Genomic DNA, 14204 nt, shown 5'->3' with positions numbered 1-14204 from the left:
TTAGCCGGGCACGGTGACAGGCACCTGTAATCCCAGCTACTCGCAAGGCTGAGGCAGGAGAATTGCTTAAACCCAGGAGAAGGAGGTTGCAATGAGCCAAGATCGCACCACTGCACTCCCGCCTGGGCAACAAGAGCAAAACTCCGTATCAAACAAACAAACAAACAAAAAACCCCTCATTAAGACAGAGACTACAAGAGTAAAATAGATTTAGGAACAAGAAGATAGGTTTATTTTTCAACAAATGATATATTCATACATTCAGCACCCAAAAGACACACAATAGACAATGGGATATATGGAATGAACACACAAGAAATCTGTGTAGATAAATCAGCTTGCTCTATCCCCCAGGATTACTTGCCATTAAAGCATTCCCATAACTATACAATTAATAGCTTTTCCTTGTCAAAGAATTTTAGAAATAAGTAAGAAAGTAGTCAAGAGATTTGAGAAAACAAGTTCCTCTCCCTATACACTTAATTCACAGCACTGAAATCCTACTTCATTTATTTTTTTCATTGTCATTTCCAATAGCAAAACCTTATTTATGCATTCCATCTGGTTTAATGAGTTTGATGTACTTTCTTCAGAAAAAAGTTGATAATGTGAAGCTCTCTTCCTATATTTTCCCTTCTTTTGTGTGGGTAAAATGATTATTCAACTCTGCCGGTTGAATCCTATTGCCTCCCTTTAAGGTTTTATTTGCTTGTTTGCCATTTTCTGGCTTCTCTTATTCTATCTGGAAATTGTTATTTTAAAACCTACACACACACACACACACACACACACACACACACACACGCCTGTTCAACTCAGTCAAATAACTGCAACAACCACTTTTTGAGCTAGTCTTAGAAATCAAGAATATGTCAAGTGCTTTACATACATTATCTCATTTAATTCTTAAAATCTCGCAAAGTAGGTAACTCCATTTAAAGAATAAATAAAACTGAACCTCAAAAATATTACATAATGAGTCCAATGTCACACAACCAGTGATGGCAGTATCAGGACTTGAACCTAGGTCTACAGAGCACCAAAACTTGTGCCACCTAATTTTCATAAATTTTCTGGTATCTGTAACAAATCCTATACAAAAGGTCTTACAAAAGTACTTTCATTCATGCAACAAATATGAATGCCTACATGTCTTTAAAATTTCTGTAGATATACTTTTAACAGCCCCTTTCTTGTACTGTTTTTGCAACTGGAAAGCTGCATACTATGCACTTTTCCCTTTACTTCCTCTCATTAAATGTCAAATTTAATCATGTTATGATTATTATCAGGTAGTGGTTCAGCCACAGCTATTTCCTGCCCCAGTTCCTGTTCAGTACCCAGAATAAAATCCAGCATATTTTCATTCCTAGTGCTCTAAAACTACCTGTTCCAGGAAGCAATCAGTTGTTCTCATCTGAAAACTCACTTCTATATTTTGTGTCACATTAGCAATTTTCATGAGAATAACAAAGTGGACTAAAAATGCAGTTTTCCTAAATGTCACTTAATATTTTCCACTTAGTCATATGATTCTGGTCATCAAGTGATGTTTCAGATTTGTAAATTTAACGTATTTATGGTTTGGTATTAATCTGAGAAGAAGATAGAAGCACGAGACTTTCTCAGATTTTCAAGGGCAGTCCCAATTTAAAACACACTGGCCAGGAGTGGTGGCTTATATCTGTAATCCCAGGACTTTGGTAGGCCAAGATGGGAAAATCACTTGAGGTCTCTAGCCTGGCCAACATAGCAAGACCCTGTATGTACAAAAAAATAAAAATTAAAACATTAGCTGGACACAGTGGTGCATGCCTGCAGGTCTAGCTACTCAGGAGGCTAAGGCAACAGGATTGCCTGAGCCTGGGAGTTCAAGGTTACAGTAATTACACTACTGTACTCCAACCTGGAAGACAGAATGAGACCCTGTCTCAAAATAAAAAAACTCTGTCCCACTATCATGTATCAAGTAGGGATTAAGAAAAGACAGTCAAAATATATGCAAAGGGGAGTTCACAATAATGACTCCATGTGGCTACAGGCTAGGTAAAGGGGTTAAGGGATGGCAACCATCATTTTGGAATTCTTCTTTGAGTCTTAATTTGAACTGGGAAAGTAAGTATTGGAAGGTGAATATTAAATAAACATGTAATAATGGACAAACTGCTGAGGTTTTCCTATAATTTTAGTATCTAAGTATGCAATTTCCAATTATCAAAATTGGGTAGTACTCACTTTGCCCAACCACATTTACATACCATTATCATTTAAAGCTGGCCTTCACACATACATTTTATACAAAGCTACAATTACTTACCATTCCCTAAACAATCCATATTTCTGTTCTGAGACTCTGCCTCTTCCTGTTCTGCATGGAATGCCCTCTTTCTCCACCTACAAACACCACCTTCAGACCTTTAAGGCTTCAGTGGTAGCTCCCCTGAAACCCAACTAGTTCTCTCTTAAAATTATTTATTGTTTCTTTTGTATTCACTGCTTTCTATGTGCCCGTACTTTATATATTTTATTTAAGGCTTAATGTCTTCTTTGAAGTATTGCCCTTTCCATTAAACAGATAAGGAAACTGATGCTAAAAGAGGTTTGGTGTTATGTTCAAAGTCACAAAGCCTGATAGGAATTCAAATCCAGACTGTCTATACTTTAACTGAATTCTTGTCTCAAGAATTATTGGGACCACAAGCATTTTGGATTTTGGATTTTGTAATATTTGCATATACATAAAGAGATATCTTAGAGATGGGACTCAAGTCTAAACACAAAATTCATTTATGTTTCATTTACACCTTATACAAATAGCCCAAAGGTAATTTTATATAACATTTTAAAATAATTCTGTGCATGAAGCTAAGTTTTGACTGTTTTTTTGTTTTGTTTTGTTTTTGTTTTTGAGACGGTGTCTTGCTCTGTCACCCAGGCCAAGTGCAGTGGTGCGATCTCGGCTCACTGCAACCTCCACCTCCTGGGTTCAAGCGATTCTCCTGTATCAGCCTCCCGAGTAGCTGGGACTACAGGTGCATACCACCACGCCCGGCTAATTTTTTTTGTATTTTTAGTAGAGACGGGGTTTCATATTGGTCAGGCTGGTCTTGAACTCCTGACCTCAGGTGATCCACCCGCCTTGGCCTCCCAAAGTGCTGGGATTACGGGCGTGAGCCACCGCACCCAGCTTGACTGTAACCTGTCACATGAAGTCAAGTGTCTTGTGGCATCATCTTGGCACTCAAAAGGTTCCAGATTTTAGAGCATTTCAGATTTTCAGTTTACAGATGCTCAATCTGTATATATTGTATTATCGTCATTTGTTCAAATATCTATTTCTCCCATCAAATGAATGCTCCTCAAACACAGAGAAGGTGACTCCATCCCTTTATCTTCAGCAAAATCCAACAGTGCCTATTATACAATGATCTCAAAGTGTTACTGTGTACAATAGTGGATTCAATTTACGGTTTTGCAGTGTTATTTTCCACTGAGTAGTCTCCTACTATAAAGTCTCCAAGAAGCCAATTTTATTGTGGTAATAAAGTATAATGGCTTGGAATGTAGGCTTTGGAATCAGACTGCTTAGGTGTGAATCTCACCTCTACTGACTCATTTGTGAAGAAATCTTGAACAAATTAGTTAAACTAAGTCTTGGTTTGCTCATCTATAAAATGACAGTAATCAGTACCCATCTCACAGGACTAAAATGATTAAATAATATACAAGTAGTCCAACTATTTTCGAGTTTCATTTTATCCACATGACACCCTAAATTCTCTTCAGTTTAGTGAAGGTTTTTTTCATTACATATTCCTTGCAATTTTGCATTAAATGGACCAGCCAAAAAAAGTTCATGGTTTAAAAATTGGGTGGGCCACCTTCTTCATTTTTAGGGCCAACTGTCCAGTGCCAGTTTGGGCTCAAAAAAAGTTTACTCTTGGAGGCTTGACTATCTATGCAAGAGTGCCCCCATTGTATACTATACTTGTTTACTCACCACATTTTCATGCTCCACCAGAAAGTGGTCAAAATTGGAACACGAAAACTCTCCACCTCACTAACACCTAACTTAAAACTATCAGATGCATTCAGACAGCCAGTCTGTGTGGGAGGCAGGCTATTTCTGGGGCAAAAATATTTCCTGGAACCACTGTTTCTGGCCCCAGACATGGCTCATTCTCCGCAGACCTCCAGATTCCTCTCCTCTACGTTATGGAGGTGGAGCCACTACAACTGATAACGCATATCCATTTCCTTCTCTTAAAATTTGCAGTCCATACACCATATCCAAGTTAGGATTTCAAATTGTTATACTGTTTTGTGACTCTTTAGGCTAAAGTGTGCAGTTTCCAGACTTTCAGAATTCCCCTTCCAATATTAAAAATATGGTGAAAAAAGCCCAGTTTGAAAGAAAATAAACTTTACAAAAATACCTGAAAACAAGATCAAATACTAAGTCTCTTGCCAAAGTCTTGGAGAAAAAAAAAATGAAAGAAACGTTTAAAAATGGCAAAAGCTAACCAAAAACCTTAAGATTAAAGTATCACACCTGAAAAGTAGTCTCAAAGCAAGGAGGATATACTATTAACAAAGAAAGCAACCGAAAACTACAAAATATTTAATATTCACCATGAATTTCAAAATTACTTGGCATGTAAAGTACACACTGAGATTAATAAATTGTTCCAGATTCTGCACTGCCCAGGTTAGTATAAGGCAGTTCCTTGTTTTCGCCACGCTAAAAATAAGAAGGGTGACAGATTAGTGACAGAATGATCCCTGAAGTTACACAAGGAGGTGCTGAGTTAGAAAGCCATGACTCGAAGGACAATACCAGAATGCTGGCTGTCAACACTGGGCAGATAAAAATAAGAAAAGCTGAAGCATGCTGATGGAGCACGGTATTGTTTCCAGACGGGAACTATCCCTTAAGGCCCATGCCTTAAGCACCCACTCCGCCGTGTTGGGATCAGAAAACTCGACTGCCGCCTGCTCAGAGGGGGCAGGGCAGCGACCCTCCTTCCACCTCCTCCAGCGCGCGAGCCGCCGCCCCCTCCCGAGCCCGCTCCTCCGGCCGCTAGCTGACATCTCCCCGCCAGCCGGGCTAGCCACCCGAGACCCCTGAACGCCCTTCCAGGACCCGACGACCCCTCAGCACAGCGCCAAGGGAAGGAAGCAAAGGACAGGGGCCTGGAAGCGGGGCCCGAGGGGCGGGTGGCGCGCTGGGCTTCGGCCCGTCACCATCAAGACTTGAGGACCGCGCGAGCTCGGGAGGAAGGCGGCTGAGCCTCCGCCACCGGCCGACTGATGAGAAGGGGTCGCGGCTGACCCCGGCCCTCAGGTACGGGAGACTGCCGGGAAAGTCGCCGGCGACGGAGGGCGACGCGTTGGCCCCGGAGCCCCCACCTCCATCCCGACGACCGCTCTCCTCCCTCGTCCCGATCCATCCTCGAAATTCTGTCAGAACTCGACGACCTCCACACTGCCCACCCGAGCGCGGAGGTGATGCCGCTCTTACCGTAGGAGCGAGCGCCGCGCCGCTAGGAGGCGGCTGAGGTGCGCGCGGGAGACTCCGAAGCTAGCGCCGCCGCCAACAGAGCCCAAGGAGCCACAACGAGGCTGCCCGCGGGCGCGCTGCCTCCAGAGGGTTGCCCCACCCCCTCTCCCGCAGGATTTTGCGCCGGAGCCTGCAGTCACTGCGCGCGGGCAGGGAGGATGGGAGGAGGGGCGGGGCGTCCCGAGAGGGCGGAGCTGAGCGCCGGCTGCTCTGATTAACATCTGTGGGCCCAATGGGAGCACGGAAACTCCAGGCTGATCTTGGACTGACTTCCCTACTAACCCGTGACAGTAGAGAGGCGGGACCAATGGGTCTTTTTATTGCCGCCTTTCTGTCGAACCCGAAAGTAAGGAAAGGTCGGTTGGTTTGCACTGGCGGACAAATGGTCCAATTACCGCGGAAAAGGGACCTCTGAATCCAGATTGGCGTCCTCTCTACCTATAGGGTAGGCTCAGGGGCGGTGAGAACCAGCCCCGGATGTGGGCGCGGCACTGAGGTAGAACTGAGAGATCCTCTACCGCAGTCGTTTGAGGAGGCGGAACTGAAGTTTTTTCTTAATTATCATGTGACGGGTTCTGGATTTAATGGGGGGAAAAGGGCGGAAAAGGACAAGGATCCAAACTGGCGAATTTGCTGATCTTCGCGTCCCTCTCCGCTTTCCGGCCGGCAGCGCTGCCAGGTGAGTCTGGGGCTCTGCCCTAGCCCGCACCGTACGCCGGCGCTGGTCTCCTGATGCTTCCGTGGGCTGTGCGGCCGACCCTCAACCCATCACACAGCCAGCCCCAAACGCGCACACGCCTGCTTGGCTCCAGGGCTTCTGTGCGCATCCAGCAGGAACCGTGTTAAACTCCAGCATGTGCTGGGCTTACAGCCCATGAAAGGGGAGCGTCCCGGTGGGGCGCCGCGAGCCGACTGTCGGTGTTTGCAGAAGGGCAAGTATAGTTTAGGAGCGTCCTGAAGTTCCAGGGGCAAATAGGCCCCCAGATGAGCTAAGTTGTAAGCAGAACGCTGTTCCTTTGGCCAAGGCTGTTGCTGCACGGGCTTTTCAAAAGCGACTCATTATGAAGAAGAATAAATATGTGGGCTCATGAAGCAAAATTATCTTTGGGATGAGGCAGGTTCACTTGGTAGACTACTGGCAGTGGCGAGAGAAGGGAAATGGGGGCTGATACCCAGCCGTGGGCTATGTGGGTGGGGCTCTATATATGTCCATACAGGGGTAACTCCGAAGGTTTTAAAAATGAGTAAGGAATCATTAACAAATATTTAACTGTCTTCCTAGTGCCAGAAATAACCACCTTAAATGGGAAACATTTTAGTTGAGCACATTTTTGGAGTACGCACCTCCCCCTTTCTTGTGGAGAGAATAGTAGGAAACATAACGACTGCTCAAATTGATGAAGACGTAAATGTAAAACTGGGATCGTATGTCATCGTTGTAGCTCAGCATACAGGCGTACAATCCTTCAATCGTCATTTAAGTATCAGCAGTGCTTCCCCATTGAGGGTATTTCCGTGCAAGAACATAACAGAATTTTGTTGCATCCCACATTATAAATCTTGTAGGCACAATAAGATTGTTACTTGCATCCTTTCACCTCCAGCCCTAAAGCACCTGTGGTAAGTACAGCCAAATGTAAGAAAAAAATGAAGCTTGTCTTATCCGATAGCAGATGGAACAGTTAGGTTTAAGCAAGTGTATAATCATAAACCGTTTTTCAGAGGTTCACAAAAACGGCCTGATAGATTGGAGGTGGGGATTGTGCAATTTACGGGATGAAATCCATCCATGGTTATTAATCAACACACACCCCTCCAACCCTGCTTCCAAATTCAGTCCCACATCCCACTCTATGGCAGCCTCTGGCCGGGAAAGGAAACCAACACAGAAAAATGCCTCCTTAGAAGCAAAATTACTGCAGTATGAAGCCTTTGCCAATTAAGTAAACAAGTTTAAGTGCCACTAGATGGGTATAAGGGAAAAGAGGTGAGTTAGGAGACTAATACTTAACTGTTGAAATAGAACAGATGTGTCCTCTTGCACTGTGATAGCCACCCACTATTTAAAGTAGTAGAGATGTTGCACAGTACATCAAAGTTAGTTCTAAAATATAATTGAGCACGCTAATCTAGGGTATTTGGCTCAATTAGCCAGTTCCTTCACCTTTTCCCTGTTATCTTCCTGCATCTTTCCTCCTACCACGCATGCTTTTGTTCCTATCCCTAGCACCTTCTGATCTTTTTCTCTTTCCATCAAGTATCCTCTCTCATCTTCAGTGTCATTCCCCATTGGCTTATTTCTGTTTATAGTCATAAATTCTTCCTTTCCTGAAAATTTCTTCTTTCAGTTTCATATACCCTATCTTTCATTTTTCTCTTCTCCAAATGCCTCAAAGGAATAAAATGTTCTCAATTGTTTCCATTTCTTGGTCTTCTGTTAACTCCTTACCCAGCTGCATGCAGTCTGGCTTCTGATTTCCCATTCTACTTATCCTTTTTCCAAGTGGCCATAAAGGTTGGTATAAAAAACTTAAGTAGAGGAACATATCATAAACCTATATGTGAAGATTAAATATAATAAATGCTATCCCAAGCTAAGTTTTATGCATTCATAATCAAAATTCTAGGTTTTCAAGAATCAGCAAATTTAGCATTGAAAAACTGTAAGGGCAAAATAGAAAATATTCTAGAAAAGAGGCCGGCGTGGTGGCTCAAACCTGTAATCCCAACACTTTGGGAGGCTGAGGTGGGTGGATCACTTGAGGTCAGGAGTTCGAGATCAGCCTGGCCAACATGGTGAAACCCCATCTCTACTAAAAATACAAAAACTAGCTGGGCGTGGTGGCGCACACTTGTAATCCCAGCTACTTGGGAAACTTAAGTGGGAGGATCACTTGAACCCGAGAGGCAGAGGCTGCAGTGACCTGAGATCGTGCCACTGCACTCCAACCTGAGTGACAAGAGTGAGACTCCGTCTCAAAAAAAAAAAAAATTCTAGAAAAGAGAACAACGAGTAGATACTAGGCCTTCCAGATATTAATACATTCCTAGAGCAACACTAAGTCATATAGTATTAGTGCAAAAGAGAAACATATAGATCAATGAGGCAGAATAGTGATATAAGAAATAGCCCCCAAAATTTAGCATCTAATAATCACAAAACATCAAAAGTTTATTAGGTGGTCCTGATTATTGAATGGATAACAAGTAGCTTAAAAAAATACATATATACACCACCAATCAGTGAGACTATTGTTAAAAGGAAAAAAACTATTATACCAAGAAAGATATTTGTAAGAATTTTTATGAGAAAATAAGTGAGAATTTAAGAATATGTTTCAAATTATATGAAAATCCAGTGTTATCAGTGCCTTTTATATTATATAGCCCAACAACCTCTTTACAATCTTTTTTTTTTAGACAGTGGTCTCACTCCCATCGCCCAGGTTGGAGTGCAGTGTGCAACGGCTCACTGCAGCCTCAACTTCCCGGGTTCAGGTGATTCTCCCACTTCAGCCTCGCGAGTAGCAGGGAATACAGGCACGTGCTACTGCACCTAAATTTTTTGTATTTTTAGTAGAGACGGGGTTTCGCCATGTTGCCCAGACTAGTCTTGAACTCCTGGGCTCAAGAGATGCACCTGCCTTAGAGTCCCAAAGTGTTGGGACTGTGGGTGTGAGCCACTGCACCCAGCCACTAAAATATTAATTCTACTTTATATTCTTGTGATTTTTATTAACCATTCCCTCCTTTTATTGATGGATTGACTGATTGAGACAGCATCTCACTCTTTTGCCCAGGCTGGAGTGTAGTGGCATGATCTCACGGGGCACTCACTGCGGCCTCGACCTCCTGGACTCAAGCAATCCTCCCACTTTAGCCTCTCAGTAGCTGCGACTACAAGGTGCATACCACCACGCCTTGCCAATTTTTTTATTTTTTGTAGAGGCAGGGTTTCACTCTTGCCCTGGCTGGTCTGGAGCTCTTGGGCTCAAATGATATGCCTGCCTTCTCCTCCCCAAATACTGGGATTACTGGCATGAGCCACGCACCCTTCCCATTCCCTTCTTTTAAAACTCTCTCTCTTCTCAGCTTGATACCCACCTTTCACTTTTTCACTACTTTGAATGCTTTTTTCTTTGTACCCCTTGAAATTGAATTAAAAATTAGATTTGCAAATGTATAGGAAGATTAAGAACATCTTTGAGGTGCAGGAATAAAGTTGTAAGTGCCTGGACTCGAGTGATAGCACTGAAAAGGAATCACCTGACATTTTGAATAGAGCTTATACAGTAGATATAATAAAAATTGTATTTTGTCATGGGCTGTAAGGAATGGTGGATATAATGTCAATGATCACTAAGTTTTAGAGGATTTGAAAGGAAGAATAGTAGAATGTTTTCAAAATTAGGAAGTCAGTTGGGAAAGAACCAGTTTTGTTCATTAGGAATGGAAGTGATACTTTTTTTCTGGTATCAAAACAATCTTGACTTTTTCTCCTTCTCTTAGGGTATATTTCCTTTTTTCCGATCCTGCAACAGCCTCTTTAAACTGTTTAAATGAGAATGTCCTTGGCTCAGAGAGTACTACTCACCTGGCTTTTCACACTACTCTTCTTGATCATGTTGGTGTTGAAACTGGATGAGAAAGCACCTTGGAACTGGTTCCTCATATTCATTCCAGTCTGGATATTTGATACTATCCTTCTTGTCCTGCTGATTGTGAAAATGGCTGGGCGGTGTAAGTCTGGCTTTGACCCTCGACATGGATCACACAATATTAAAAAAAAAGCCTGGTACCTCATTGCAATGTTACTTAAATTAGCCTTCTGCCTCGCACTCTGTGCTAAACTGGAACAGTTTACTACCATGAATCTATCCTATGTCTTCATTCCTTTATGGGCCTTGCTGGCTGGGGCTTTAACAGAACTCGGATATAATGTCTTTTTTGTGAGAGACTGACTTCTAAGTACATCATCTCCTTTCTATTGCTGTTCAACAAGTTACCATTAAAGTGTTCTGAATCTGTCAAGCTTCAAGAATACCAGAGAACTGAGGGAAAATACCAAATGTAGTTTTATACTACTTCCATAAAACAGGATTGGTGAATCACGGACTTCTAGTCAACCTACAGCTTAATTATTCAGCATTTGAGTTATTGAGATCCTTATTATCTCTATGTAAATAAAGTTTGTTTTGGACCTCATTTTTCTACATGACTCTTGAATAATCTGTTGTATGTGGTCAATATCTAAAGTAACTAAATATAAAACCTTTAACCTACATGTTTGGGCCAGGCGAGGTGGCTCACACCTGTTATCCCAGCACTTTGGGAGGCTGAGGCGGGTGGATCACTTGAGGTCAGGAGTTCAGGACCAGCCTGGCCAACATGGTGAAACCCTGTCTCTACTAAAAGTACAAAAATTAGCCAGGCATGGTAGCGGGCGCCTGTAATCCCAGCTACTTGAGAGGCTGAGACAGGAGAATCACTTGAACCCGGGAGGTGGAGGTTGCAGTGAGCCAAAATCACACCACTGCACTCCAGCCTGGGCAATAGGACTAGACTCCGTCTCAAAAACAAAACAAAACCTACATTTTTTAATAGAAGTTTAATATACCATGGCTGTATTATGACCAAAGTAAATGGCCATTTGTGTTTCTAAATTATGAAGGAAAAAAAACCTGAAACAGGGATGCCACTTCGTATTTACATTTAGAAAGAATCTGAGTTTGACAGATTTTTATCTAGGCTAAATTCACTATTACCTCTACCTTCTGGTTGGGACAAATAATTTAGAGGTGGCATGTTAAAACAGAGCAGAAAAGCCAGGCGCACTGGCTCACGCCTGTAATCCCAGCACTTTGGGAGGCCAAGGCGGGCAGATCACAAGGTCAAAAGATCAAGACCATCCTGGCCAACATGGTGAAACCCCATCTCTACTAAAAATACAAGAATTAGCTGGGTATGGTGGTGGGCGCCTGTAGTCCCAGCTACTCAGGAGGCTGAGGCAGGAGAATCGCTTGAACCCCAGAGGCGGAGGTTGCAATGAGCTGAGATCACACCACTGCACCCCAGCCTGGCAAAAGAGTGAGACTCCATCTCAAAAAAAAAAAAAACAAAAACAAAAACAAACAGCAGAAGCCTGCCACTTCCTAAAGTTAGGGAGACCCTATAATCCTGATTCTGTCAGGACAGGCCCAGTTTATATACCTATTGTCCTGGGGTCTCAAGGAATTAGTGCCCCCTCACAATTAGAAGTGTCTTGAATTGAGAAAGCATATTATCACCCTCCCAAGGTACTAATCAATTCCAATGAAGCAGAGGTGACAGTACTTATAAAAATTCCAAAGAGGTTGAAGTGTCTTATAACCCTGAAGCACGATGATTGTTCTTACCCTATGCAACCCTCACTTTTAGCTTTAAGAGAAACCTCAAGTGATTTTTTCTCCGTTTTAAAAAAATCAAACAAAAAAGTGATTTCTGGCTACTGATACAGAAGGTCTAGTTCTCCCTTGTAATGACAGATAACATAAGTTTCACAATACAACAGATTAATACAGCTTAACTCATTAGGCATTTGAAACTAGAGAGCTAGGCTAAATAAATAAAAACTAATCAACTGCAAAGTTTTCATCTTATAATTGACAATAATTAGGATTTTCAGTATGTAAAAATAGGATTGAGAACAGTTAGTACTGGGAACGGAATGTTCCAGGCTTGATCAGATACCTCTAACTCAATTGAGAGATGCATACTTTGGTTTATGGGATCTATCGTTAAATAAATTCAAAGTAGAAGAAAGCTTACATCTCTCTAAGAAACCAGCCAAGAGGATTTTGGAGTACAGGGAAAAGGAAAAGAAGGGATGGCACCACAGCAAACAATCAGCTAGGCCAGGAGTCAGCAAAATTTCTCTGTAAAGGGCTTCTCAGTAAATATTTAGGCTTTTAGGTGATGTGGTTTCTTTTGCAACTACTGAACTCAGTCCTTATGGCAGAGAAAGCAGCCACAGACCATGGCTATATCCCAATAAAACCTTATTTATGGACATGAAATTTAAATTTCAAATGATTTTCACATCACAAAATATTTTTACTTTTGTTTCAACCATTTAATGGCATAAAAACCATTCTTGCCTCACACACAATAGAAAAACTGGTGGTAGGTTAGATATGGCCTACAGGAGGTAATTTGCTGACCCCTGTGCTAGGCAATAAAAGCATAATGGAATTCTGTATGAGACGTTAAGAGGAAAGGTAGAACAGGTCTCTTGCTCCCCCAAACAGTTCTACGAGGAAGGAAGAGAGAGATTAAGTAAGAATTGTATGTAAACTGCAACACAATAACCGACCTGTTTACACAAGCGTCAATGAATTTTAACAGCATCTGAAGGATTCCCAGAAAGTAGAACTGCCGCACTAAATAAACACTTGAAGCAGCACAATAAATTATCATGGATATGTGCAATACACACATCAGTGTGTTACATTAAAACATTACGTAATGAAAGACATTAAAGATAGAAATCATGCTTACAGGTAGAAAAATCAAAACAAATGGACTAATATGTAAACAATTAGTATTGTACAAAAATACCTTCCTAGGTTTTAGTTATAGGATTCTTCCTTTGTATTACAGAGATATTTACCAATGACGTTTTTTAAGATTAAACACACAATGCCTCATGAAAGAAACTTAAACATCAGAGGTTCTTACCAAAGCCGATTTTTTCTAGGTTAGCATGGATGTAACTCACTCTGGTTTGGGCAAAAGATTTGTCATCAACAATCTGAGTAAAAGCAACCTGTGCACAAAATAACTTTTTATAAGACTTGAAACTATGACAAGGGGCCGAGTGCAGTGGCTCACGCCTGTGGTCCCAGCTACATGGAAGGCTGAGGTGGGAGGATCGCTTGAACCCAGGAATTCAAGATTACAGTAAGCTATGATCATGCCACTGCACTCCAGCATGGGTGACAAAGTGAGACTCTGTCTCAAAAAAAAAAAAAAAAAAATGGCTGAGTGCGGTGGCCCACACCCATACCTGTAATCCCAGCACTTTGGGAGGCCAAGGCGGGTGGATCATCTGAGATCAGGAGTTCGAGACTAGCCTGGCCAACAAGGTAAAACCCTGTCTCTACTAAAAATAGAAAAAATTAGCCGGGTGTGGTGGCAGGCACCTGTAGTACCAGCTCAGGAGGCTGAGGCAGGAGAATCACTTGAACCTGGGAAGCAGCGGTTGCAGTGAGCCGAGATCACACCATGGCACTCCAGCCTGGACAACAAGAGTGAAACTCCCTCTCAAAAAATAAAATAATAATTTAAAAAAACATTCAAATGATCCAAAACTTAGTAACATTTCATGAACATAGGGACCAGATATGGTAGCCTCAACCAAACATGTAAAACATGAACACAAATCTGCCAACAAAGAGCCTTCAAGCACCAAGAAAAATACTTGTATAAACCTTCAAGAAGTAGAGATCTATCCTTGGGTTCAAGCTTACTGCAATTTTAAAAGTGATTAACCTGCGGGACGTGGTGGCTCATGCCTGTAATCCCAGCACTTTGGGAGGCCAAGCCAGGTGGATCACGAGGGTCAGGAGTTTGAGACCAGCCTGGCCAACATGGTGAAACCTCGTCT

The 14204-nt window shown here is 42.3% G+C and overlaps 2 protein-coding genes across 20 annotated transcripts in view, besides 2 other annotated features; one reads left to right on the top strand and one right to left on the bottom strand.

Annotated features, from left to right (window-relative positions):
* The window catches only part of PHTF2 (putative homeodomain transcription factor 2), a 158732-nt gene extending 153012 nt beyond the window's left edge, over window positions 1-5720 (bottom strand). For 14 of the 19 annotated variants that reach the window (XM_011516422.4, XM_011516423.4, NM_001127358.2 and 11 more), the window contains exon 1: window positions 5522-5720. The gene's annotated coding sequence lies outside the window, so the exon portion shown is untranslated. Of the gene's footprint in view, window positions 1-5409 lie in introns of all 19 variants that reach the window. The other 5 variants (XM_005250509.5, NM_001366086.1, NM_001366087.1 and 2 more) reach the window with 1 other exon arrangement.
* Window positions 5640-5779: a silencer, noted in NCBI's record as "silent region_18330". NCBI's record gives its function as "represses an Ori minimal core promoter by ATAC-STARR-seq in GM12878 lymphoblastoid cells {active_cell/tissue: GM12878}" and the evidence as "EXISTENCE:reporter gene assay evidence [ECO:0000049][PMID:35858748]".
* On the top strand, window positions 6059-10765 carry TMEM60 (transmembrane protein 60). Its single transcript, NM_032936.4, has 2 exons — window positions 6059-6239; window positions 10070-10765. Exon 2 carries the CDS (start codon window positions 10120-10122, stop codon window positions 10519-10521), a length of 402 nt encoding a protein of 133 aa, NP_116325.1. The 5' UTR covers window positions 6059-6239; window positions 10070-10119; the 3' UTR covers window positions 10522-10765.
* Window positions 6190-6299: an enhancer, noted in NCBI's record as "active region_26208". NCBI's record gives its function as "activates an Ori minimal core promoter by ATAC-STARR-seq in GM12878 lymphoblastoid cells {active_cell/tissue: GM12878}" and the evidence as "EXISTENCE:reporter gene assay evidence [ECO:0000049][PMID:35858748]".
* Window positions 10766-14204: the final 3439 nt, after the last annotated feature.

This window comes from Homo sapiens, chromosome 7 (genome assembly GCF_000001405.40).
Source record: "Homo sapiens chromosome 7, GRCh38.p14 Primary Assembly".
NCBI lineage: Eukaryota > Metazoa > Chordata > Mammalia > Primates > Hominidae > Homo > Homo sapiens.
Note: the sequence above shows the minus strand (reverse complement) of the source record. Positions and strands in the feature narration are given on the sequence as shown.

Coding starts and splice junctions, on each gene's coding strand:
- TMEM60 (NM_032936.4), top strand. CDS start 10,120: ATGAGAATGTCCTTGGCTCAGAGAGTACTACTCACCTGGCTTTTCACA.